Genomic DNA, 24,568 nt, shown 5'->3' on the forward strand with positions numbered 1-24,568 from the left:
TGCCCCAGAGTGACTCTTGGAGTGACCCCTTGGGTGGTCCACGGGAGCCAGGGAGGGATAGGGAGGACACATCCACCATGAGAGGCTGTTGAATTTCCGGCAAAGCTCAAGTCTACTTTATCTTAAAACTGGTCTAGCAGGTTGGTGTCAAAGGCTGCCCAGGCTTGCACAGGGCCTACTTCTCCTGGAGGAAGAGGGCCTTTATGAGAGCTGGAGAAGTCTGGGATGTCCTATGCACAGACCCTGAGTCTTCCTGCCTTCGTAGTCAGGCCTCTAGGCCTTTAGGCCCCCGGCCCCTCGCCTTCCACTTCACTGTGGGCAACCGTGCAGGACGGGAGGGTCCCCATCTGAGAGTGAGGTGGGCCTAGTCATGGACCCCAGCCCCACTCAGCTGTGTGTCCAGCCTTGGCCAGGAGAGATTTGCTCAGTCAGTAGATTAAAAGTCCAGCCTAGGTGCAGGGACCTAGTGAGATGTACACACTGGCACCAATGATACCCCAGTGGTATGTCTGGAAGGGGGGTGGTATCCAGCAAACACTCCTTGGGGGCAACAAGAAATACCTAGATGGCTTAGCAGCATTTCTGTCCGAAGGTTGTTCCAGAGGGAGGCTTGTGAATCCAGGGAGGGACGCCACACAGGATCAATCTCCAAACCCATTTCCCACCTGGAGGCAGAATCCTCTAGGGCCCAGCCCCCAGACCCCCTCCTCCAGAAAGCCCTCCTGAATCTCCCCATCCTCCTGCATGCCTTCTGAACCTGTGGGTGCCTAGGCTTTAGCAAGCCAGACCCTTGGAGGCAGAATAGAGCAGTGGTTATTCCAAACAATGTCTGGAATCAGGATGTGAACTCTGGCTCTGCCTCTCACCACCCCTCTCTGAGGCCTTCCCTCTTCAGCTGTAGATGAGGACAACCTCTGCTAGTGGGGTAGGAACCCAACCCAGAGTCACAGAGTTGCTGCCCTCACCTCTTTCTGCCCCCGCTCCCACACTCTACCCTCCAGATCCTTCTTTCTGGCCTCTTGCCTCCAGGCCCTCATGAGTACAGATACCTCCCTTAGAAATGAGGGTCAGATCACAGCACTCCCCTGCTAGGCTCTGAAGAGGTGCTTTGCCATCCTCAAATAAAATCCACCTGCTTCCTTTGCCCTTCCCACCCCTCCTGGGCAGCCATTCTGGGCTCTAGGTCTCTGCCTCAGGGCCACTGCACTTGTAGTTCCTTTCACCTGGGACATCCCTTCTGCAAGTTGTCTGCATGGCCAGCTCCTGCTCATTGCCTGGGTCTCCAGGCTCAGTGCCACCCAAAGCTGCAGAGCTATCCCCAACGCCCTCCCAGCTGCAGGGTGTCCCCATTCCCAAAGTTACTCTTCCCACCCCCACTGCTTTTCTTTCTTTACACTCTCAAAGCTTGTCCTATGCACCCATTTGTTCACTAGTTCACTCTCTGTCTCTCCCGCTAGCCCACGAGCCCAATGAGTATGGGGACCGTGTCTGTCTTGTTCCCTGCTGTCTCCAGGACCTAGATGGAGTCTGGCCCAGTTGGTGCCTTTGGAGCACATGTGCTGGTGGAGGACTTAATGATAAAGTGTGACCTTCGTTACTGTTTGTATGTTGTGCAGGGTCCTTGCACCCACCAGAAGGCTCATCCCTTTGTTCCTGGCTAGTGTCAACATGTGTGCCCCTTTTACTAGGCCAGGACCACACAGTGGTGATCACGTTGGCCAGAGGATCTTCAGCATCTGTTAGGCTGAGTCTCTGATTGGGGTCTGGGCAGGCATCATTCACTGCCCTGGCAGGGAAACAAGAAAAGAAGATGGAACCTGGAACCTGTTGGGGGTCAGAAGTAGCTGGCAGCCCCTCCCCAGACAGGAGCCGGGCCCTGGCTTGAGCTGAGGCCAGGGTGAAGAGAACAGGACCTTGGTGGCCAGGCCAGTGGCCAAGAGCTCTCAGCAGGCAGGGATACCAGGAGATAGAAAACAGCATCCAAGAGCAACTTGCCTGGAAGCCACCATCCCTGTCCTCCCCATCTCATGTAGTAATCCGGGGGACAAAAGGTCAGTCAGGACCCCCCAGGGTTAGCTCTGCCCTGAGCCCCACTTGTTGAGTGGCCGTGGTCAGCCCCTTCCCTGCTCTGAGCCTCGGTTTCCTCATCTGTGTAGCGTGGGTAATATTTGGACTTCACTCCCAAAGTTGTGGTGAGTGCTACATGAGGTGCAAGCCCTCGCCCCATGCCCAGCACCTGGCAGGCACCTTGAGACATTTCTCTCTGTGTACAAAGCAGTTTTCTGTGCTTCCTCTAGCCACAGCAGCTTTCTGTCCAGGCTGCAGCACCAGGTGAGGAACAGCTTGACACTGGCCCCTCTGTATCCACTACCCATCCGCTAGGTGACTCAAATCTAGGGGTGAAGCAGACAGAGGGGTTACCTCAGGCATTCTGGAAGCAATGAAGCAGCTGAAATTCAGACTGAAGGAATGAGGAACTGTAAATACCCCTGGCTGGGTCATGGTGACCTGGAGGAAGCGTGCCATCTGGCCCTACAGACAGCCAAGCGCTCAGGCCGCCGCCAGTAACAGGGAAGGCACGTGGCTGGCCACCTGGGTCTGGGCACCACATCCAGGAAAGACAGCCCTCCCTCCATCACCCACCTCTTGCTCACTCTCACCTAACGTCAGACCTATTCTTTGCCATGACTGCCTCCATGTCCCCAGGGTCCTGTGTGAACTCCATGGTTCTTGCTGTCTATCCTCGTCCTTACCCCTCCCTGTAATCAGCCTGTCACTCCTCACCCCTCCTTGCTCTCAACCTGCCAACAAGTGTCTCTTCTACTCTAAGACTTCTAATTGCTTGAGGGCTAAGACAACAGGAAGGTTAGGATTGTTTCCAGAATAAAGGTTAGAAAGCTTTAGAGAAGCTTTCCTGTGGGGCCCTCAAGCAAAGGTGCGGAAAACTTCGGGACACAGGAAGATCTCAACAGATAGTGTTCCAAAGTCAGACTGTCCGGTAATGGAGGGTGTTTTCATTGAAATTGCTCTTCCACACACTTTTGGTGTGCTGAACCCTGAGAGAGAAGAAAGGATCCCCCAATCCCAACCAGTCTGGACTAGAACCCGGACACCTCCGCCCCAGGTCAGACTCTGCCAGCTCACTGGCCCCTACCCCGATTCAATTGCCCTGCCCCACTGCACAGAGCAAGCCCTCTTCAGTTCTGTGTGTCAGGAACACGTGCCTCCCAGTCATGCCTTGGTGCCTTTGCACTCACTGTACCTTCTTCCTGGGAGAACCAGCCCTGACTTCTCTGACTACTAGTTTCCTCATCTCAAGACACTGACCCCAGGAGTAGTCCACAGCTCTCTCTCCCTGGGTATTCTCCACTTGCGATTTGGAGTTGGCATTTCTTGTTTACACATCTCTCAGGGCTGATGCACCTCTGCCACCCTCCCCCGAGCCCTCGCCTGGCAGTGGCCAGGGCAGTCACCCTGCAGGCAGTCTAACTGGCCTTTGTCTCCTAGCTCCCATTTCCCAAGGGGACCCAGGGGAGATGAGAGGAGAGGCTGCTCCCTGTCTCCTCCACTCCTTAATGAGTCCCCAGCAGGGACTGCTCAGCCACATAGAATTTCTGGGCCTCTCCGCTAGCCCAAATATCAAATGGGGGCTAATGATAACAAGATCAAAGGGGACACACTGTGTACACAACTGAAAATCGGCCCCATTGAGGGCTCTGTACATGAAAGGTATCATTTTATTATAGAGGTAATAAAATAAAGAGGTAATAAAGGTATAATGTCATTACAGAAAAATCAGTGGAAGAGAAAAGACCACCAAACTGTTCTTTGCTATAATTATTATTTCATGAAGTCTTATCAGACGTGTATTTCTCTCCTCTCATGTGCAGGCACCTTCCTGGGCAGGAAGCAGACCTAGCAGAACTGCAGTGGCGGCCCTCAAACCAGCACCCCCTCTTCCTGACAGCACAGGCACTCCCCCCGGGGCCTGCGCCACAGTGAGACCAGCTCTATGCAGATACAGCTCTGTCCTGTGAGGGGGTGAGACACAGGCTCTGCTGGGGACTGAGGCTCCGGCTGCATTTTCTTACCTATTGTAGTTGTCCATCCTCCCCAAATATGGCTGGGGGCAGAAGAGAGTGGACACATTCACAGACGGGTGGGTCAGTACCAGGACATCCAGGATTGCCTTGGTTCCAGCAAGATGTCTCAGGATGGGCTTTCCACAGGGAAGAACCAGAGAAGCCAGGGCAGAGTTGGGGTCTCTGGACTACCAGGGCTCAGGGCATAGAGGTGGGGTTGGCTCGCCCCTGACACCAACCCCAAGGAGAATAAATAAATAAATAGTGTATAATTGTGCAGTCCCCTAGCCTGGCTTACCCCTCAACAAGGGGTCACTAGTCACTGTCGATCTCAGTTCCTCTGCATGTCATCCTCCCAGAAACAGAGGCTGGCTGCCAGTAGGGGTCCTACCCGACCCTGGGGATTGAAAAACCAGGGCTGAGAGTGCCCATACAGTTCAGGTGGCCAGGGCAGGCAAGCGAGTGGAGGTCTGGGCCCAGCCCACAGGTGAGACAAGGTCCTGCCTGTCTCCCCATCCTCTGACACATGGCTCAGTATAATGAAGCCACATGCGGCCTGGGGGCATTTACCTCCAAGTTGTGTGACACCTCCCCTCTCCCATGCCTTGCTCTTGCTGGCTCTTCCTGGGCCAGCTGCCAGAGGTATGCAGGCACCAGGATGCCTGGAGGAGGGACAGTGGGGGCCCAAGTCCAGCTGGGGCTGATGTCCCCTCCAGGGTGCGACTGGGTGAGGGTGGGCAGATTGCCCCGTACAGTCAGAGCTGGAAGGGGTACTGTCGGAGGTAGTCGGCCATGCGCCGGGGCAGTGGCAGGCAGTCCACGTCGGCCACCAGACGGTTGATGACAAGGCGGCACAGGTGTTGCAGGCTGCGGGCACTGCTTCTGCGTACAAAGGGCTGCACCAGTTTTAGGTGTACAGCAGTGGCTGGTGGAGGAGCAGGCAGTGCTGGGTCACTAGGCGCATCCTCCTTAGGCATAGGCAGGGCCGGGGTGGGAGCAGGATCGGGGCTGTCGCTTCGGGTATCAGCAGTGCAGGAGGCCACATAGTGCTGCACAAGGCTGACCACATCCGGAAAGGCCAGGATGCGTGGCCTGGACAAGCAGTTGGAGTCCAGACGGAAGCTGGAGTCGGCATACTCAATGCGTACATTGGTGGGGCCACGAGTGGTTTTCACTGACAGCGTGAACAGGTAGCTGGGGTGCGTGCTGTCACGTACTAAGAACGTGCCTTCTGGCATCTTCTGCAGGTGTTGTCGGGCCTCGCTGGCCGTAATGGAACCCCAATACCAGCCTAGGCAAGTGCAGAGGGGGCCAAGGGACATAGTGGAAATTAGCTGGGGTAACCAATCCAGTGCAAGTCAAGGCAGTGCCTCCAGCTTCACGCTTCCCTAGAGAGGGCTGTGCCTCTCCCATCAGACTCTCCTGGGCCGGGCTATGCCTCCCAAATCAGACTCAAAGGCAGAACTAAGCTTCTCCCACCAGACTACTCAGGAAAAGGCCTGCCTCCCCCCTCAGACTCACCAGATTCCCGAAGGTAGGAGAAGGTCTTGGCTATGCACAGCAGATCCTCCTCTGGGTCCAGCACCTTTGGCTCACTCTCTGTCTGGGCTGGGGTACCCTCTGCCACCTCCTCGAGGAAGGCCCCAGCAGGCAAGGGCTGCATGACTGGCTTGGGCAGTTCCAGGGACGGGGCCCACAGGGGCCGCTGCCCAGTCCGCTCCACAGCCAGCAAAGGACGAGGTCTAGAAGGCAGTGGATGAGCAGTGAGTGGAGGACCCATGCTTCCCCCATCTCCAGAGACCCCCCTATGCCCCAGACTAGTTTCATGACCTCTGGCTGGCCCATCTCACTATGAGCCTCAGCTTCCCCTCTACCCAGCCATGGGCTCAGTTAGTCCAGTATCTCGTTCCCCACTTGTCATCACAAAAGCCACCTTGATTGTTTCCATGTGGGGATCCTCTTTTGAAAGATTCTTTTCCACTGCCCTGCATTTACTAAACAGTAATTAATTGCTCTCTATTTTATATCAACCAAAAACACAGATCATTCCCTATAGGCATGTCTAATGTTCTCACCACACTGATAGGATTCAGTGCAAAGTAGCTTCATGTTTGTGCCCTCCTGGCTGAAGTGGGCTGATTAAATGGCCCACTGATGAATGGTCCTAGTTGAGATAGATCTACGACAGACAAGTAGATTTATCCTATGATAGATCTGTGTGGGGTCCTCCAGAGAAGCCCCAGGATTATGGTAGGCTGCCTGAGGTCACACGCTACCTCCCCATGGATAGGAGTGTCTCTCAGAGGGACCTAGGTCCACACTGGCCAGGACTTAGAGACTGAAATAATCCCCTACCCATACAAGTCAGCCTATCCTGGCCTCTGCTTCTCCCAGTGGAGGGTCTGGGGTGGACAGTGGCCTCTAAAGGCACTGGCAAGTCTCACCTCCTGTCAGTATGAGCTCCCACCAAGGGCAGGGACCTAATCCACACTCCAGTTCCCACCCTGGCAAGCCAGCCCTACCAGGCTCTACGATCTTGTACAAAGCTTGCTCTTCACTGGGCTTCAGTTTCCCTTTTCCGCAATAAAGGGTCCCACCAACCCATGCACTGAGAGGTTCAGTAACACCATATTCTTGGATGGCTGGGGTTGGGGGAACTGAGCCGACCAAAATCTGAGTAGCAGCTTTCTCCTAGGGGAAGCCCACCCAGCAGGGTGATACTAGGGCTTCCTCCTTGGGAGGGCAGCAGGGACTGGCTCTACTTCCCCAGGAAGACAGCTGCTCCTCCCTCACTCCTTGCAAAATACATCTCCAAGCCTTAGTTCTGGGTCTAGTCCCTGGCTGGGCCTCAGGACACCGCCATAATGAAACCATGGCCTTGCCCTCAAGGAGAACCAGACTGGCTGGGGAAGATGACACTAAGAGTAATTATAATGCAAAGTCATAAAACTGCAGGTGTCACGGGGGAGTCAGGGTCTGCTTGCTCCTGAGCTGTGTCTTCCAGGCCAAAGGAAGGAGCTGGGGGAAGGGACCCCAGGTAGAGAGGACAGCATGGGCAAACAGCGCCAGTATTGCTTGTGAGGCAGGAAGGCGCAGGCAGGAGCTGGTGGCAGGAGCCAGACCTGACTCCTGTGTAGGTTATAGGTGACCCTCTAGGTTCTAACAAATCATGGCCCTATGACCACTCACAGTGAGAAAGGGCCACACAACTCTGGCACACCACAGCCTGACAAAAACTTTTCCACACCTACCCTGGCTGTACTGTGGGATCTTGGAAATCCCTCTTGGAGAGCTGGAGGCCAAATTTTGAGATGACCTGCTTGCTGGGGCCCAGAGCTACCTTCCCAGGAGCATGGTTGGTGGCTAGCCAGTCAGGCTGGAACCTCTGTGGGTGGCCACGTCCAGATAGCTTAGCCGGTCCTCAGATCCCACATGTAGGTGTGGGCACCTTTGGGGCTGATGTGGTAGCTGGGTGTATGAATAGCTGTGTTGATCACCACAAGCTCCTGGTGAGTGTGTACCTGGGCAGGGGTGTGTCCATGGCTGTGTCATCATCATGGTGGGGACAGTGGCTGGTGTGTTCTAGGTACATGTGTGTGCCCGCTTTGGAGCGCAGCAGTCTAAAACTTTGTTCCCTGACACCCAACAGTAGCCCTGAGCTTACAAGGGGGTGCTCACCTAGGGTAAAAAGTGAAAGAGGCTATGGGACCCCGGAATGCAGGGGGAGGCTCCTGGGGTGGAAGGCAGTGGTGGGGCAGGTATTCAGGAGTCCCAGAATGCAGACAGGAGGAAGGAACTTGCTGGAGACAGCAAGGGAGAAGTAGTCTTCCCAGCACCTCCATGTCCTCTTCCTTGGCCTCACCTTCCACCCTCCCTCACTTGGCACCAGGCCAGTTGCGATAAGCACAGCCACCCAGTCCTCCCTGAGTGCAGAACACCCATTTATACCTTCTTCCTCTCTCCTTGGAGCTTCCTGAGCTCCTGTCACATCACCATGGCCAGCATCAGACCCTTTGGTTGAAGGGGTTGCTGAGGTTCAGGACAGAGTGGATGGCCAGGAATGCTCAGCTCAGGTCAAGACTCTGTCTTATCAGCATCCCCTCTCCACTGTCCCTTACCTCAAGTCTGGGAAATTTGAAGATGAGAGGCAGGAGCCAAGGTCCTTCTCACATTGGGATCCCAGACTGGGCTGAGACAGGGTTGTGAGACGATTGTGGGGGTACCCCAAGCAGGACCAGGCCAAACCCAGGGCCTCCCGAGAGTTGCAGACCATCAGGTGCCAGCCTGAGGAAAGGCAAGGATCTGCGGCTGGCTTCCCAAGAAGAGCCTACTTGCTAGCCTGGGGCAGGAGAGGGGACACCAGGACAGAGGGGGCCAGGGGCTGGTCCAAGGTTACTAGCAGGCAGGGCAGCAGGCAGGCTAGCGTAGAGTGCTCTGGGCCCAGAAGAATATCTGGGATTGTTGGCCACATCTTGGGGGACGCCGTGCCGTTAGCATCCATCTGCTCCAATGAGAACCCAGGCTGAGCCCACCCTGTGAGTTCCTCCTTTAGCCGGCCAGCCCCCGGTTTCCCAATCCACAGTGGGAATTGAGGTAAGTGTGTGGGGGCGGGGAGTGGGAGTGTCACAGCCCCACACAGAGCCTTGCTCCTGAGGTCCGTCTGCGCTCAGTCACCTCTGGCCCGTCAAGCCCTCCCAATGCCCGGCAGCTAGCACGAAGCCCCTGTTCTCCCGTGCGCCCCTCGTGGTGGCCGGGAAGGGGGCAGAGAGCCGCGCTTACCCCTGAACGCAGAGGACCATGTCCCCGCGGCAGCGGCGACTCCGGAGTGGGGACTCGGCTGGACGGCGGCGGCTGGAGGGAACCAGTGGGCGCGGAGCGCGTGCTGGGTAGGCTCCCGGGGCGCGCGGGCGCAGGACAGGGACTGAGAGGCAGTGGCGCGGACCGCCTGCGAGGGCGAGGGGGGCGGGCCAGACGAGCGGGGCGGGGCGAGCTGCTGCCTAATCCTTTGTCTGCCGCGTTCCAGCCCTTCCCGGAAGCAGCGTCTTCCTAGAACCGCGGGCTGAGCGGTGGGGCCCGGGCGGGGTGCGCGGGCCCCGTCGCCGGGTCTGGGGCCCTGAGCAGTGAAAGGAAATACTTTGACAGATTTCCAAGAACTTTCCAGGAAAACGGGGCGGGGCCCCGCGAGCTGACCAATCGCGACGCTGAAGGTGGAGCCGAGCGGTCGGGGAGGGCCAATAGCAGCGCGTGGACCCGGGGCTGAAGCTACCCAGAGGGGCAGGTCGGAGAGATCAGTGGGGAAAGACCGGGTCGGGGAAGTTAAGGAGGGGCCCGGGCTCAGCAACCCGCGCCCAGATTGCCTTCTGGCATTCTGCGTCGTTGGGGAAGGGCCCTCTTATCTCGCGGTGGAACTCGTGGCAGGGCGGGGGGCGGAGTCCCGGGCTTGTCCTCCCTGCGAGCGGCTCCTCCAAGGAGGTCTGTCGGCGTGTGCAAGCGCCCCGTGTTGGGACGGCCGCTCCTGGACCCTAGGACTCTGTGTGTCGGGTGTCGGATTGGGTGGCATGGGGTGAGATCTGGAGCGGGACTTAGGGCAGGGCGGGGTGCAGAGGACAGTTCCAGAAATGAGTGGGTCCACTGAGGTCAAGCCGGCGGTCACCACAGCCAGAAAGATCCAGACAAGAACGTTTTCTTTGAAAGAGTTGAAGGAGAAAGCACGCCCCAACTTTTCGAATCAGGCAGACCATCCAGTCTTGGCTGGCACTGGTTTCTGGCCGGCCCTGCCAGTCAGGGGAGAAGAGACTACAGATTTGAGAAAGCAAGCAGAGACAGCCCCAGATGGCCCGGACTCTGGGTTGGTACCACCCCCACCCCCCGCCAGAAAAAAAATGCTGAGAGAGAGTCCTGCAACTCAAAACATAGGGAGATAATCTGGGAGTAGGGTGATAGAGGTTGGGGCGGGATGGCGGGGGCAGAGTAGTAACACTCGCTCTTATCTACAGGGAGTACTTGCTGCATTTGATCCTCTACAACTGGTGTTGCTCCCGTTATGCGGACAGAAGACAGCCCCAGGGAACAAATGCTAGGAAATGGCAGGGTAAGAGCTTGGTCCCAGCTCTGAATCAGAAGCCCACGCTCCTACCAGGACCCTCTCCACCTTTTTTCAGTTCACTGGATTCACTATGGAGCATCTTGAAGGACTGTAGGGTCTGTGAATCTCCTCCAAACCCTTGGGCCAGAAGAACTGTGGGATTTGGAGAGGTTGCAGGGTCCACTCCCCACCCCCATCCCCCTCCCAGTGTGTGCCCCCAGGGTCCCCAGAAAGGAGTCTAGCTCTGAGATCCTGGGCAGGGATGACAGACCCCTGGCCTTGTTGAAGGGCCTGAACGATAGCATCCAGGGAAGACAGGGCTCAGTTTGCTCTGCCCAGAATGGCAGAGGGCAAAAGAAACCTGAAAGCAAAACCCTGTGAAACTGGGGAAAAAACGTTAAGTTTCAGATTTCAGGGCAGTCACTTCTCTGTAGCTTTCCTGAAGGGAAGCCGGGCTTCATGAGTGCAACTCTGCCAGCCCCCTCCTGAGTTGGCCAGAAGCCACTTTCTTGGAATGGGGGTAGGGGGGATGGATACCTTATAACCCACTTTGAGGGCTGGGATACCTGGATAGCCTGATATGCGGCCCCTGTGTGGACCACTGACTTGCCAGTAGGAACTGTCCACTGTCTCATTACTATGAAGACAAAAGGACTTTGCCGCTGCCAGGCAACAGAGTTACAATTTTGAACTTGGGTCTCTTATGGGGCCAAATCCCAAGCTCTCTACCAAAACTATACTTCTTCCCCCTCACCATGACTATTCAACTGAACACTTACTATGTGTCAAGCACTCTCAGCAATTTGCAGCCTCATGTCATTGTCACAACTACCACATATTATCTCCTCTTTACAGGTGAGAAAACTGAGGCATGGAGAGGTTACAATATAACTTAGATCTCCCAGCTGGCAAGTAATGGTTTAAGCCAGGAGCCTACACACTTCCTCCTACTTCCTCTATGGGTGCTGGTGATCTGCCGACTCCTAGACATCCAGCTTTAAGGTCCTCAGTGAAGCTTCTCTGCCCCCAGGCCTGTCCATGTCAGAGCACCATGGGTGTCCCTTTGAAAGTATCTCCTACAGGTCAGTGATTATGCAGTCTATGTGTAAACCAAAGGGTTCCAAGGGTTTTGGCCTTCCAACTATTTTTGTGTGTGTGTGAATATGACAGCACTGTGCACCTCACCTGCATGCTGGGAACAGTGATGTGCCCCTGTTCTGCCCCAAGTACTAAGTTGGGTCCCTCTGGCCAACTTAGTACTTAATTCTCCTGCCCTGGCTGCTCCCTAGAAACCCTGGCTCTGATTGCTGGGCCCACACTGCCACCTAGCGGTGCCCCCTCTCATGCCCTCACTAGCCAAATTTCCATAGATTCTTCTCTTCTAGGATAATCCCTCTCCTGCACCCCAGGGATTGAACTTACTGCAAGATTCCCCTGCCACTCCCTACCCAGAACAATCACAAGATGAATCACAAGAATACACAGCAGTGCCTTCCCAAAAGTCTCGCTCATTTGGCCTCCATCCTCTCACCATGTACAGCCTCCCCTCTCCAGTAAGGACAGAGTGTGTGTGTGTGTGTGTGTGTGTGTGTGTGTGTGTGTGTGTAGGATTTAGCCCCCCTCACTTTAAGCTATTCCAAAGTCTCTGTCCCCTTGGACACACAGCTACATGAAGGGCTGTGTGGCAGAGTCTGCCATCATGAACCCACTCCTGACCAGACCTAGCCATCCTGCATGCCAAATCCTCCCATCATTGTGGAGGGGATGCTGCAGGTGGTTGCTGGAACATGAGCACTAAGGGAAACCACATATTCTGACTTTCCTGGGCTAAGTGAGTAGTTTCAAGGCATCTCTCCGATGGACCCATGTGGGGAATGCGTGTGCCTGTGGAAGCATGGACACTGGTTATAGGGACTGGGAGGGGAGAAGCAGCACCTTTGCCTTACTTTTCATACTTCTGTATAATTTGAATTAATTACAATGAGGAAGTTTTACTTATGCAACTTAAAATTTTAATAAAAGAGACCAGCTTAAAAAATACAATTATAAAATTTGTAGAGCAATTATAATCTAATTCCATTTTAAAGAAAGAAGACATCTTCACAGAACATTCAGTGGGATGCCTTTGGCTGGGGCAAGGAGCCAGCCTCCACCCTCAGCTGCCTAGCCTTCTGCTCACCAGAATGACATCTTGCTCAGCCTCAGGTTCACCAGGCTCAAACTAGTTGCCTTCAGAGAGCAGAGAGCCTTCTTTGGCTCCCCCCAGCAGTAGAAGATTCCAGATCATAGGGCTTTCAAAGAGGCTCTGAGATCTTGAATCAGATTCTCAGGTTGGGCTCAGGGACATCAATCCTGGGTCCAGCTGGGCATAAATGCATGTGTGTGTGCACATGTGCATGTGTATCTGTGTGCATGTGTGTTATATGCATGTGTGTTTATACGTGTTATATGCATGTGTGTGCACATGTGTAAAGGTGTGACTGCATGTGTACATGTGTGAGAGTATGTTTGCACATGTGGCTGTGTGAGGAGCCAGAAAGGACTAGGAGAGGAGGCCATGGTTTGAGGATAAGAGCCCAGCCCTGAGGTTGTGCTTTGGAGTTGGAATGGGGGCTCTGTCATGACAGCTGCTGACCTCAGACAGGTCACTTAACCTCTCTGGGCTTTTCTGTCCTGTGTGTCTGTAGTGTGGGGCAGAAGGGATAGTGTGACCTCCTCTAGGCTCTGTAAGGTCAGGGGGTTGCAGGGAGAGCACATTCCCAGCATCTGGTCTGCAAGAAGTGTTCACTATGGCCAGCTGAGGCTATTGTCTGGAGCCTCCTGCTTCACTGAACACTGCTAGCTTGAAGGTTGCCTGAAAGAAATAGGGGCAGAGCCCCAACCCCATCTCCACTCAACATCTGCACACAGTGGGTACCCACTAATAAGTTGTAGCACCCTTTCAGTCACTCATTCACTCATTCATTGACAGAAGATCATCTTTCCAAGAGCTACTTCTCTGATGAGCCTGCACATGCAGCCCAGGGGTCCGTGAGTGTGCGTGTGTTAACCAGAGGGGCTGAGGGGGAGGCGCTCACTGGGCCTAAATTCCGGAGCCAAGAGTAGGATGGCTGGAAGACGCCTCTGAGTGGAACCGAGGTCCTGGTACCTGCAGTCCTGTAGATGGCCTGTAGATGACAGCAGAGGCCCATGCAGAGCCCCTGCGCTGAGCCGCACCTTCCCAGTTCCAAGTGAGCCAGCTCGCTCAGGTCCCTCAGCTTCCGGATTGGGGGAGTGATGTGATGTGCGCAAGTAGTTCAGATCTGTCCCAGAAGACAGCCACAGCCACCCTCCCTATGGCTCTAGACAAGTTGTTTTCTCCCCAGGGGTCCCAGTTTCCTCATCTGTGAAATGAGAGTTGCTTAACAGCCGGTGTTGGGAAAACTGGCTCAAAATACGTAAGGTAGTCTAAGATGGGCTTAACAGAGACTTATATGTGCAAGGCAAAACTAGAAAGCTAATGGAGAATATCTGTCACTCGGATGGGAGACAGAGACTTTTTAAACACGACGCCAAAAGCCCAAACCATAAGGTGAAATGTTGGCGGATCTGATCAAATGGCAACTCGGGATTTCTGGTCCCCAGGATGCTGTATATACCAAAGGGAAGCAGCGAGTCAAGGGCATAAGCGGGAGCTGCAAAAAGGGGGCAGTCGCCAGTGCTGGAGACTCCCAGAGCCACCAGAGACTAAAGAGTGGCGAATTCAACAACGACAAGATGCCACCTCCCTCGGCATGTTTAAAAAGTTGAGTACGCTGAGGGTTGGCCAACACTAGGCAAGTCGGAAGCCTAGCAAGCCATACTGGAGGGCCACCTGGCAGCGTGCAGAGCAAACACCCGACTCAAGGAGAGCTTTCAAGAGAAATAAGACGTCCTGCGCTGTCACGTTCTAGGTTGCGAGTAAAACCCGGGACCCGCACAGTAGCGGACTGCCAGTACAGGGGCCTCCCTGGGTGTCCCTGGAAACCGAGGAAGTAACCGCCCCCTCGGGAAGCCACGCCTCCTATTTTGTTCCGGCTCGGGGGCGGGACCCAGCCGGGGCCCGCCTGGCCCTTTAAGGCTGACCTAGCGGGGCCCCAAGTTGGGATGACGCGCAGGGAGCGGGGGGTGGAGTGGGGGAGTGGGGGAGGGGGGGGTGGGGAGGGGGGGGAGGTCACGTGGGCGCCGGCAGCGCGACTCTCGGCCCTGGGATTTCTGCGGCCGCCAGCTCCCGCGACCGCCTCTCCTGCCCCTCGCCGGTACCTCAGCAAGGTGCGTTGCCGCCAGGTACGCCCTCGCTGGGCCCCCTCTGCGGCCTCCTCCGGGGACCTCGCGGCCATTAGGCGCCCGGCCCCTTCCCTTCTTGACACGTGCCCGGGCGGTGCTCGCTTGTACCCCGCCGCGCGACCACCGCCCCTTGCTGCACGTCTGTACTCTCAGGCCGTTCGTCCCGCACTCCCAGCTTGCCCCGGGCTCGCAGCCCAGCCCAGTTCAGAGGCTCCAAGGCTGGGGTGTGTTGGAAAAGTCTGGGCGGGACTCACTCTTCCCCTTTCCCCCAGGTGCCACTAGAAGCGCCAGGCTGGGGCCGCCTCTGAGCGCCCCGCGGGGGCCATGGATGGTGAAACAGCAGAGGAGCAGGGGGGCCCTGTGCCCCCGCCAGTTGCACCCGGCGGACCCGGCTTGGGCGGTGCTCCGGGGGGGCGGCGGGAGCCCAAGAAGTACGCAGTGACCGACGACTACCAGTTGTCCAAGCAGGTGCTGGGCCTGGGTGTGAACGGCAAAGTGCTGGAGTGCTTCCATCGGCGCACTGGACAGAAGTGTGCCCTGAAGGTCAGTGAGCCCTCACTGAGGCCTGGGGTATCCTGGAGGGTCCACAGCGGAAGCCTGTGAGTGAAGCTATGTCTAGCGCCCCTGCTAAGCTTCCTATGCTCAGCAACATGTTTCATCGTCATACTGTCCTGTAAGGTCAGGCTTGTGGTCCTCCCTACTTCACAGATGGGGAAACTGAGGCGTAGCCTAGCTAAGCTTTGAGTGTCCCAGTGAGCAAGGGGTGGAGTCACTATGGCTAGAGATGCTGTATCCGGAAGCAGGGAAGGGGTGACTCCTGACTCTGGGATTCTGGCTGGACCCATGTGTTCAGGCCCAAAGGGGATCTCTTGTTCAGCTTGGCTGCCCCTTCCATGTGAAGCTCCTCTGACTGGAATGGATCTGTTTCCCTTTGCTGGAAGCTGAGACCCCACCAAGGCTTGGGTGGGACTGCTTCTTCCCTGTGGCCCCTGCCTGTCTGGGCTGGAGTGGTGTGAGCCTCCCAGGGCTGGCCAGAGGACAAGGCTGATGCCCACTGCACCTGTGGAGCCTCAGGAGGCTGCTGATAGACTCCTGACGAGTCGCTGGTCCCGTGTTGAAAGGGACAGGCCCTGGGCCAACCCACCCCTGGTTCCTGGGCAGAGGGCGGGCCAGCCATCTAGCCACCTCAGACTATAGGCTCCCTGGAGACCTGGCATGCTGATATAGGTGGCATGGTGGGGGTCAGGGGGATGCTGGGGGCGGGTACCTGGTTCCAGCTTAAGGCATACAGTTCTGGGCCTAGGGCCACACCCCATACCCAGAATCCCTTGAATCTGTCATCTCTGGGGTCTTTACTCATTTGTAGCTTGTGCCAATGGATGGGTAGAGCATGGCAGGGATAGTGGCTCCTGGAGGCTAGAAGTACAGCAAAGGCCCTTCTCATTTTACAAAAGATTTTTTTTTTTTGAGGCAGAGTCTCACTCTGTCGCCAGGCTGGAGTGCAGTGGCACAATCTCAGCTCACTGCAACCTCCACCTCCCAGGTTCAAGCGATTTTACTGCCTCAGCCTCCTGAGTAGCTGGGACTACAGGCGTGCGCCACCACGCCCAGCTAATTTTTTGTATTTTTAGTAGAGACAGGGTTTCACCATGTTGGCCAGGATGGTCTCGATCTCTTGACCTCGTGATCTGCCTGCCTTGGCCTCCCAAAGTGCTGGGATTACAGGCGTGAGCCACCGTGCCCGGCCTTTACACAAGTTTTAATTATGAGTCCAAGTGCAGAGTCCTCTAGATATGGCTAATAGCTATCCTGTGTTTGCCAGTTTCATGACCTTGGATGATATCCTAGACTCTGGAAGCCAGGTTTCTGCATCTATTCATGGGGAAAGATAAGGAGTTGTTGTGAACATGAAATGAGATTATACATTTAAAGCACTTGGTACAGGACCTGATACAGGTCTGGAGAGGTTACAGGACTTATTTAAGGCACAAGGTCTTAAAGCATCTGAGCAGGGAGCTGGACCCAGCTCTCTGTGTCTTTCCCAGGACCACTAGGGCCAACAGAGGAGGTTGTCTCCCCGGAGTACCTTGGAGGGGAACATGCGGGTGGGTCTAGGAGAGGATCAGGGTTGGGCTGGTGGGGCTGGGCCCCAGGTATAGCTTCTTTGCCCACTAACCCAGCAGTCGAATGGGGTCGGGGAGCTTTTCAGAGTATCAGGAATGGGATTCTCTGAGTCTTTTAGGGAAAAAGTGGCTCTTCTGAGGGCAGACGGGGGTAAGAGGATGAGGAATGAGAGTTTTCATCCCCCTCTGGGCACTATTTAACCTTCCACCTGTGCTAGGATTGAGGGCAGGCTGGGTGGGTGAGGGATTGAGGCCAGAGACCCACTTCTTAATACCAAGGCTTTGACCCTGTGGGCCAAGACTGAGCTCTGACCAGCCCCTGTGGTGTCCAGATGCTGTGGGTGAGTCAGGGATGGGGTGGGAGACCAGAATTTGTAGGCCCACACAGTGCCAGCTTTAAGTAAGACTGGACTTAACCCCTTCCCCATAGATGCTATGTCTGATGAGTGACTTGGGGTAACTTCTGACTGCAAGAACTTCCACAGCACCTCATCAGTGCTCTCCTTGTTCTGGACTGGGAATTGGGTCAGGCCTGGAGTGGATTTCCCTCTGTACCCCTTTATGGGTGAGCATGGCTAAGGCTACTAGCTTGGGACCTTCAGGATCTGGCCCTAAATTGGCCCTCAAAGGGGACATGGATTAGATGTGGCTCCCACTCCAGGACCTTCCTGTTCTTAGTATCACTAGTGACCAAGCCTAGAAGTCCTTACCCAGCTAAGCAGGCATTTACTATCTCCCAATATTGGGCTAAGCACAACCTCTGGTACAGTTATTTTACCTGTCTTGTGAGTGGTAGCTGTGGCCACGAGGAGGAAGGTGACATCTCCCCACTTATAGCTTCTGCCCATTGCCCAGGAAGACCAGGACCTGGGGACCTCAGTACATGGGCAGGCCTGGGCCCAGGGAGCTTAGCCAGCTCATGATGGATCACAGTCCTCTCCTTGCATCTGCCTAGCCCTCTCCCCGCAGTTGCCCCAGCTCAGCCTAGGCAACAGTCGTGGGCTCTGTGTCTTTCTGCCTCCCTGGTGATGTACTCCAGGTTAACCAGGGTGGCCTGTCCTCATCTTATAACTTGACCTTGTTCAGGCCATCTCTGCCCATTTGTCTCATGCTCATCCTCTTGGCTCTGTTGCCCAAGATGGAAGATAGTGCTTAACAGGAAGCCTGAAACTCAGCAAACACTCATAAAACAGGAAGAGCTGTGGCCACTGTCCTTGTAACTGTTGCTATTCTGTGGAGGCCCTAGAGGAGCAGGTCCCTCCCTCCCAGGGAGCTGGGCCTCTTCCGCTTTCCCTTAGCCCCTGACCACCTGCTTGGTTCATCTTGGCCTCAGTCATACTCAGTGGCTCCCTCCCAAGGCTACCTTCTGCTGCCAGTGCAGCCATTCTACTCCATTGTACCCCAAGCCCTCATTGCTGTCCTCTTGGCAGGAACTGGAGGACTGCCTTTCTTGGAGAGGGTGTATGGGCCAGGCGGTCCTCCAGTGTCTGCTTCTCCTGCTGACCTCTTGCTTGTGCCCTCTCCCAGGCTTAACTAGTTAATTAGTACCTTCAGCTTTCCCTCTAACTGGGCACAGCCCTGCAGATTTGTCACACATCAGTTACCCCACCACATCCAAGATCCAGTCCTTCAAACTTTATCACATACATGAAAATTGGGACCCAAAGTGAGTCACACGGTTTGAAGTGGGGGGTGTAGCAGAGGCCCGAATTTTCTCCCCTCCTGACATCCTGCCCAGCCCTCTTGTGGTTTTTGGCCTCTTGGCAGGCAGAAGTGACCATGGCACTTAGTATCTCTAAATAAAAGCAATAGGCTGGGTGCGGTGGCTTGTGCCTGTAATCCCAGCACTTTGGGAGGCTGAGGCAGGAGGATCATTTGAGTCCAGGAGTTTAAGACCAGTCTTGGCAACATGGTAAGACCCTTATCTCTACACAAAATTTAAAAATTAGGGCTGGGTATGATGACTTATGCCTGTAATTCCAGCACTTTGGCTGAGGCGGGAGGATCACTTGAAGTCTGGAGCTCGAGACCAACCTGGCCAACCTGGCAAAACCTTGTCTCTACTAAAAATAAAAATACAAAAATTTGCTGGACACAGTGGCGGGCGCCTGTAATCCCAGCTACTGGGGAGACTGAGGCAGGAGAATCGCTTGAACCTGGGAGGCGGAGGTTGCAGTGAGCCGAGATCACGCCACTGCACTCCAGCCTGGGTGACAGAGTGAGGCTGTGTCTCAAAAAAAAAAAAAAAAAAAAAAAGTAGCCAGGTGTGGTGGCACACACCTGTAGTTCCAGCTACTCAAGAGGCTGAGGTGGAAAGATGATTGCTCGAGCCTAGGGGTTTGAGGCTGCAGTGAGCTGTGGTCATGCCACTGTACTCCAGCCTGGGTGACAGAGTGAGACCCATCTCAAAAATTGAAAGAAAGAAAAGCAATAAAAGGCCTTATGGAGACATAATGGTGGGGTCTTCTTTCCTGCCCCTGTGTTATGGACTGTGGGGCTGGGGGCTCTTCCCCTCTGACCCCTAAAGCATTTTGGAGGCTCTTCTAGGCTCCCAGTGCCCTCTTCTTCCCTTCTTTGTTAAGGAGAGTAGAGTGGTGGGGTGGTGGATCCACATGTCCAGGAGACCTCTGCAGAGTCCTCTGGGTCAAGTCTTTGTAGCAGCCATCTTCCTTCTGGTTCCCAGGATCTGGGGAGGTTGCTGGGGCTGCTGCCTCTGGGACAGTTTCCTTCCCCTTGATGCCAGTTGGCTTCCGTGAGCCAGGCTGCTCTGCATGTGGGATCTCAGTGATGCCTCAAAGCACAACACAGAAGAGGGCATATTTCTCCTGACAGATGGGAAACTAAGCTCTGGAGACCAGGAGGAGATCTCACAGGGATTTGAGATTACACAGGGATGCTGGGACTTGGCTGTGTATGTTCTGAGCCTCTAACTGTGGCATTCAAAGTCTCTGCAGTCCAGCCCACCTCCCTTTTCTACTTTAGGTGACATCTTTCCTTCTCCAGCACTGAAGAATTTCTTCTCATCTGTCAAGACTCAGCCCCAGTGCCACCTCTTCCAGGAAGCTGCCCAGAGTTCCTGGCTTTGGGGCAATGGAACCTTCTTTGACCCCTTTGATAATACTCCCCTTTGATTCAAAGCTCTTTTATAGCACCTAGGCCCAAGGCCTGGCATATATCAGAGATTCATGAATGCTTATGAAAATGACCAGGCTCTGGCCCCTCTGAGCTTTGGAAGGAGCATCAGGAGCTGGACTTTTTCCAGGTTGCACCTTCTCCACAGGAGAGGGGTTCTTTGATTACAGCTCAGAGATAAGCCACAGAGAAATGCTATTTCTACTCTCCTAAGATCTGGGAATTCACAATGGAATCTAACAGTTCCACTGCCTCAATAGACCTCATGGAGAATTCCTGGGAGAAAGGAAATGCCCATTCATGAGGCCATTTCTGCTCCCTGCCTGCTGTCCAGGCTGCACCTCTGAGTAGACAGAGGGGCTCTGTATAACCAGAATGCCAAAAGGAAGATAGAACATGATGGATGCAGAGACTGGGAAGCAATGGATCCAGAGCCCAGTACCCTGGATGCCTCACTCTCCCTGGGGGGATGGTGCCCACTGCTCCAAGGGTGAGGCTGGCCTGTTGGGGCTGGTACTGTTGAGCTGGATTTGAAGCCAGGTGAAGCTGCCAGGCAGGCCAGGCCCTTTTTCATTTGGCAGCCATCATCCCCTCACCTACCATCTCCAGACCGGTCAGATCAGCCTCTGCAGGGCCACTTGTTAGAGTCAACAAATCAGGAGGCACATGGAGGGACTATGCAGCCGGTACAATAGAGTCCCTGGAAATAGTTTCACTGCCCCCTGGGTTCTCCCAACGCTGCTCCTTACCTAGAAGGAAAGAATCTGAGGAGCCAGAGTGTTAACTGCCAGGGATGAGCAATTTGCTTTTTCATGAAGATCCTGGGGAGGGCATCAAACCCTACAAAATGCAAATAGTGGAATTTTAGGCAGAGGTTGATTGTTCTGAGATGGTTCGTACCGTGCCTGGCTGGCCTTGCTTACTGTTTTCGAAGCTGTGCTCCCAGCCTACTCTCAGGATCACCTCTGCTGGGGCTTCTAGGATCTTTTCCCATCCCATCTAGGAACTGATGCCAGCTCTCCAGGATTCAGGCCTTGGTGCTGTGGATTCTGATACCCCCATAAACGGCTAACAGTTTTTCAGAGCATTCTGCCCAGCGGGCCCTGTCCACAGTGCACAACAAGGCACAGAATGAGTTGTCTTACCTAACTCTTATCACTCCCATTATATGGATGAGGTTCAGAGGTCAGCAGCTTGCCCAAAGTGCTCAACTAGTGGGTAGCAGGGCTGAGCTGTGAGCCTAGGCAGTTTGATGCCAGAGTCCTAGCATCTAAGTCATCTCACTCCTCATGCAAGTCTGTGGGGACACGGGAGGGTCTCTGAGACTTGGTCCTTGGAAAGATGCTGGCATTGTCCTCTCTGGCTCCACTGGGAGCCCTGGCAGCCCCAGCTGGGCCCTGAGTGATGCTGCCAGTGTCTACCTACATCTGCTCAGTCCTCCTCACTGTATGGAACTCTGTGCCAGTGATTGGACAGGTGGCAGTCCCATGAGGCCAGCACACAAGGACCATGATGACTGTGAAGGCCACCTCAGAAAGGTCGTGTGCCTTTTCCCAGGCCTTGTGAGTCTCAGACAAGTGCAGCTGGGCAGAGCCCAGAGCACCACGGGCAGGAAATCAGACTGGTGAGTGGGCGAGTGGAAACTGTATCTGGGCTGGGCCAGCTAGGAGAGGCTTCCTGGAAGAGGTTGCCAGTTTAATTCAGACCTCTGGTTTGAGAAGGATGTGGATGACAGAGGAAGGCACAGGGTGTATGTGTGTGCCTGTGTGTGTGTGCACTCACGTGTGTGTGTGTGTGTGTGTATGTGTATGTGTGTGTGCATGTGTGTGACAATATGCCTGGTTTAGACATTCAGCACCTGCTGTGGAGTACCAGTTTCCCACTCGCAGACCTGTGTTCTGGCAGGATGTGGTTGACCTCAGCAGGGCCGGTGTCAAAGTCCTGACAAAGACTGGGAAGCTGAGGGAGGACCAGAGGAATCTGTGGAGGAAGAGGCGTTTGTGTAGGGCCTTGAAGGGTAGAGCACCATTGCTGAGGGTGCTGCAGGGACTCCTGGGTCACTTGGGCTGTTGTTCAGACTATATGGGAAGGACTCAGTTTTCATTACAACAGAGGTCTGTTGTATCTCTTCTGAGCTTCACACCTGGGGAAGTGGAGTTAGATCCCTCATTTTCCTCTGCTGGGGACATCATCATGGAAGATCTCTGGGTGGAGGCAGTAGTTGGAACATCTGGCTCTGTAAGCCCGCAACCTCCCTTGGCTCCAGGCTGCCATGTCTAATGGTGAAGGCCCATGGGCAAGAGCTGAGGACATCCCTAGGTGAGAGGCATTCCAAGCATACCTGTGCCATGAGAGTGTGCACAAAGCGCTTCCTGGAGAGCTGGCTCTGCTGCTCTCAGGACAGTGAGACCATGGCTCCTGTGAGCACTGGTGTTTTCCCTGGAGAACATTAGTTCTACTGCTCTCCCTCCATCTATTGGACATCTTGTGTGGTCCCAGATGAAAGGCCCCATCTTGGGGTTGAGAGAGGAACAGTGCTCTCGGCTTAAAATGCTTTCTGTGACATTCTCCCCAAGTGACTTTGGACTAAAGGCAGTTTCATAATCTTTTGCAAAACCATCATCTTTGTGGTGCAGTTGAACCCTGGGTTTGAATATGTGGTGGGGAGTAGGATCCAGTCTCGGTGACTGTTACTATCCCTGCATTCATGCTATGAGACAACATAGGCCGGCAGACACTCAGAAGGCAGGGCTCTCATTTGGGGTGGCCTGGGTGCATTTGCTGGTGAAACATTATTGGTTTTTATGAGGACTCACTTGGGTGCGCCCTGCACCTGGGGAACCCAGCCCCTTGAGGGACAGGAAAGAATGGCGTGAAGGGAGCTCTGGGTCCTGGGCTCCTCCCCACCCTCCTGCCCGTTTGGAACTAAGTGGATTAGGCCCTGTGCAATTGTGATTAAAATCCTGCTGTGTGGGAACCGTGGAGGTTTGGCTTAGAGCAGGAACACGAGGCTCCCGTTTGGGGAACAAGGAGCCTCAGGAGGCCCTTTCAGCACTAGACAGGCCAGAGATGCTGAAAAGATTGCTTTTGTTTTTGAGGCGGGTTTGGGATTAGGGTTGCCTTTTTCTTTAGACTAGGGCTTTGTCTTTGCTGCCTTCTCCTCATGGCACTAGCGATCTTTCTGTCCTCTGCCTCCTCGTCCCTCTCATTTCTCCTTTTCCACCTGTTTCTCCTGCTATCGCTCTGTCCCCGCTCTCCCGGGCCTTGCCAGTTTGCCTGTCTCGTGTGTTTCAGGCCTCATGGCCTCTTTTCTGCAGCCTGGCAGGCTGAGGGCAGGCGGAGGACAGAGCAGGGCCAGGTCAGGTGCTAAGGACTCATCCTGGTCAGCGGGCAGCTCACTCCCCCACCCCCACCCCAGGGGAGGGTGGGGGTGGGGAAGGAAGGAGGAGTGAGTGCTGTACCCATGCCACTCACAGTGTCCCCTCCTGCTGCCCGCCTTGACCAGGTGTCAGCAGCCTTGGCAGTCAGAACAGTGGACTCAGGAGTTCTTGGGCTGAGCTGTAACCTGAGGAGGTCCCCCGCCACCCCCCCATGGCTTGTGTGAAGTCAACTTCAGCTGCAGTCTCTGCTGTTGGGTCTCCTTTTACGGCCCAATGGTCTGAGACTTTTGCTTGGGACAATTGTGTGGGACTAGGCACAGTACGACCCCCAAGGGTTCCCTAGCCACAGTGAGGTATAGACAGGGCTGAGATCTGACCTGAGTCAGAGCCTTAGAGCCAGCCAGAGGAGCTGGTGGGAGTCTGGGAGGGCTCAAGGTATGAGGTGCAACCTACCGCCATTTTTACAGAGGGCAGAGCTGAGTGTGAGCTGCACCTGCACTAGCTGGTGTGAACACTCAAGACTCTCTAGCTGGCACCCTGCACCTGACCACCCTTGCCCTGCTAAGGCTCAGAGGCTACATTCAGGGGCCTGAGGGACCAGGACCTTGAGCTGCCACACTCATTTCCCCATTCTTAAGGGTTCAGCCTCCACAAGAGACCCATAGCTCATCCACAGATGCTCACCCAACATTAACAGCCCCCTTCTCAGGATGTGGTAGAAGGACTGGCAGGTGTTCTCCGTGCTTTCTGGCAGGCAGTGGCACAGGGGGCAGGGGGATGGCAATAAGGGCACCCACTTGCTGAGTGCCTCCTACATGTCAGGCACAAACACTGCAGAATCAGAATGGATTATCACGCCCATGCCATGGATGCAGAGACAGGTTCAGAAAGGCAGAGTAACTCACCCAGGGTCACGTAGTATGGACATGGCCCTGTGCTGGAACCCAGGCCTGGCTCTCAGCCATTCCTCTCTGCGTGTGTGCTCCTCTGGGGATCAGGAGCCACAGTCTGCTCATCAGCAAAATGAGAGCCTGGGCCGGGCGCAGTGGCTCATGCCTGTAATCCCAGCACTTTGGGAGGCTGACGCGGGTGGATCACCTGAAGTCAGGAGTTCGAGATCAGCGTGGTGAAACCCCGTCTCTACTAAAAATAGAAAAATTAGCTGGGTGAGGTGGCACATGCTTGTAATACCAGCTACTTGAGAGGCTGAGGCAGGAGAATCACTTGAACCCGGGAAATGGAGGTTGCAGTGAGCTGAGATTGCGCCATTGCACTCTAGCCTGGGAGTCAAGAGTAAAACTCCATCTCAAAAAAAAAAAAAAAAAAAAAATGAGGGCCTGGGTGCTCTGCTTGGCAAAGGCCTCCCTTTTGGCTGTGAAGACATGTTAGGTGGGCAATGATCATCGGCAGTGCCAGGGAAGCAGGCAGGTCGTGGGGGCCTGCCTTGCCCACTGCTGGTGC

At 54.9% G+C, this 24,568-nt stretch overlaps 2 protein-coding genes across 11 annotated transcripts in view, besides 13 other annotated features; one reads left to right on the top strand and one right to left on the bottom strand.

Moving 5' to 3' along the window:
* Positions 2,481-2,530: a silencer, noted in NCBI's record as "silent region_14399". NCBI's record gives its function as "represses an Ori minimal core promoter by ATAC-STARR-seq in GM12878 lymphoblastoid cells {active_cell/tissue: GM12878}" and the evidence as "EXISTENCE:reporter gene assay evidence [ECO:0000049][PMID:35858748]".
* CISH (cytokine inducible SH2 containing protein) lies at positions 3,720-9,005 on the bottom strand. Of its 3 annotated transcripts, NM_013324.7 has the most exons (4): positions 8,862-9,005; positions 7,604-7,760; positions 5,604-5,824; positions 3,720-5,373 (listed from the first exon to the last, which is right to left on the bottom strand). In NM_013324.7, exons 2-4 carry the CDS (start codon positions 7,672-7,674, stop codon positions 4,838-4,840), a joined length of 828 nt encoding a protein of 275 aa, NP_037456.5. In that variant the 5' UTR covers positions 7,675-7,760; positions 8,862-9,005; the 3' UTR covers positions 3,720-4,837. The 3 variants fall into 3 exon arrangements, with proteins under 3 accessions (NP_037456.5, NP_659508.1, XP_047303354.1); NM_145071.4 differs by lacking the exon at positions 7,604-7,760; XM_047447398.1 differs by lacking the exon at positions 8,862-9,005 and having other exon boundaries at positions 7,604-7,767.
* Positions 7,964-8,524: an enhancer, noted in NCBI's record as "H3K27ac-H3K4me1 hESC enhancer chr3:50648164-50648724 (GRCh37/hg19 assembly coordinates)". NCBI's record gives its function as "activates a minimal SCP1, AML or CMV promoter by ChIP-STARR-seq in naive H9 embryonic stem cells {active_cell/tissue: H9 hESC(naive)}" and the evidence as "EXISTENCE:reporter gene assay evidence [ECO:0000049][PMID:30033119]".
* MAPKAPK3 (MAPK activated protein kinase 3) overlaps positions 8,751-24,568 on the top strand; it is a 37,772-nt gene continuing 21,954 nt past the window's right edge. Inside the window, exons 1-5 of one of the 8 annotated variants that reach the window (XM_047448883.1) lie at positions 8,751-8,968; positions 9,225-9,360; positions 10,079-10,173; positions 11,023-11,249; positions 14,745-15,015. In XM_047448883.1, the coding sequence (XP_047304839.1) occupies positions 14,797-15,015 (219 nt within the window). In that variant the 5' untranslated portion in view covers positions 8,751-8,968; positions 9,225-9,360; positions 10,079-10,173; positions 11,023-11,249; positions 14,745-14,796. Of the gene's footprint in view, positions 8,969-9,107; positions 9,361-9,554; positions 9,931-10,078; positions 10,174-11,022; positions 11,250-14,381; positions 14,473-14,744; positions 15,016-24,568 lie in introns of those variants that run through there. The other 7 variants (XM_047448887.1, NM_001243926.2, XM_047448884.1 and 4 more) reach the window with 7 other exon arrangements.
* Positions 8,874-9,353: a silencer, noted in NCBI's record as "silent region_14400". NCBI's record gives its function as "represses an Ori minimal core promoter by ATAC-STARR-seq in GM12878 lymphoblastoid cells {active_cell/tissue: GM12878}" and the evidence as "EXISTENCE:reporter gene assay evidence [ECO:0000049][PMID:35858748]".
* Positions 9,434-9,523: an enhancer, noted in NCBI's record as "active region_19912". NCBI's record gives its function as "activates an Ori minimal core promoter by ATAC-STARR-seq in GM12878 lymphoblastoid cells {active_cell/tissue: GM12878}" and the evidence as "EXISTENCE:reporter gene assay evidence [ECO:0000049][PMID:35858748]".
* Positions 13,145-13,234: an enhancer, noted in NCBI's record as "active region_19913". NCBI's record gives its function as "activates an Ori minimal core promoter by ATAC-STARR-seq in GM12878 lymphoblastoid cells {active_cell/tissue: GM12878}" and the evidence as "EXISTENCE:reporter gene assay evidence [ECO:0000049][PMID:35858748]".
* Positions 14,102-15,055: an enhancer, noted in NCBI's record as "H3K27ac-H3K4me1 hESC enhancer chr3:50654302-50655255 (GRCh37/hg19 assembly coordinates)". NCBI's record gives its function as "activates a minimal SCP1, AML or CMV promoter by ChIP-STARR-seq in primed H9 embryonic stem cells {active_cell/tissue: H9 hESC(primed)}" and the evidence as "EXISTENCE:reporter gene assay evidence [ECO:0000049][PMID:30033119]".
* Positions 14,326-14,375: a silencer, noted in NCBI's record as "silent region_14401". NCBI's record gives its function as "represses an Ori minimal core promoter by ATAC-STARR-seq in GM12878 lymphoblastoid cells {active_cell/tissue: GM12878}" and the evidence as "EXISTENCE:reporter gene assay evidence [ECO:0000049][PMID:35858748]".
* Positions 14,386-14,435: a silencer, noted in NCBI's record as "silent region_14402". NCBI's record gives its function as "represses an Ori minimal core promoter by ATAC-STARR-seq in GM12878 lymphoblastoid cells {active_cell/tissue: GM12878}" and the evidence as "EXISTENCE:reporter gene assay evidence [ECO:0000049][PMID:35858748]".
* Positions 14,686-14,835: a silencer, noted in NCBI's record as "silent region_14403". NCBI's record gives its function as "represses an Ori minimal core promoter by ATAC-STARR-seq in GM12878 lymphoblastoid cells {active_cell/tissue: GM12878}" and the evidence as "EXISTENCE:reporter gene assay evidence [ECO:0000049][PMID:35858748]".
* Positions 15,056-16,008: an enhancer, noted in NCBI's record as "H3K27ac-H3K4me1 hESC enhancer chr3:50655256-50656208 (GRCh37/hg19 assembly coordinates)". NCBI's record gives its function as "activates a minimal SCP1, AML or CMV promoter by ChIP-STARR-seq in primed H9 embryonic stem cells {active_cell/tissue: H9 hESC(primed)}" and the evidence as "EXISTENCE:reporter gene assay evidence [ECO:0000049][PMID:30033119]".
* Positions 21,246-21,295: a silencer, noted in NCBI's record as "silent region_14404". NCBI's record gives its function as "represses an Ori minimal core promoter by ATAC-STARR-seq in GM12878 lymphoblastoid cells {active_cell/tissue: GM12878}" and the evidence as "EXISTENCE:reporter gene assay evidence [ECO:0000049][PMID:35858748]".
* Positions 21,326-21,425: a silencer, noted in NCBI's record as "silent region_14405". NCBI's record gives its function as "represses an Ori minimal core promoter by ATAC-STARR-seq in GM12878 lymphoblastoid cells {active_cell/tissue: GM12878}" and the evidence as "EXISTENCE:reporter gene assay evidence [ECO:0000049][PMID:35858748]".
* Positions 22,717-23,493: an enhancer, noted in NCBI's record as "H3K27ac-H3K4me1 hESC enhancer chr3:50662917-50663693 (GRCh37/hg19 assembly coordinates)". NCBI's record gives its function as "activates a minimal SCP1, AML or CMV promoter by ChIP-STARR-seq in naive and primed H9 embryonic stem cells {active_cell/tissue: H9 hESC(naive and primed)}" and the evidence as "EXISTENCE:reporter gene assay evidence [ECO:0000049][PMID:30033119]".

Source organism: Homo sapiens, chromosome 3 (genome assembly GCF_000001405.40).
Source record: "Homo sapiens chromosome 3, GRCh38.p14 Primary Assembly".
In the NCBI taxonomy this organism is placed as follows: Eukaryota; Metazoa; Chordata; class Mammalia; order Primates; family Hominidae; genus Homo; species Homo sapiens.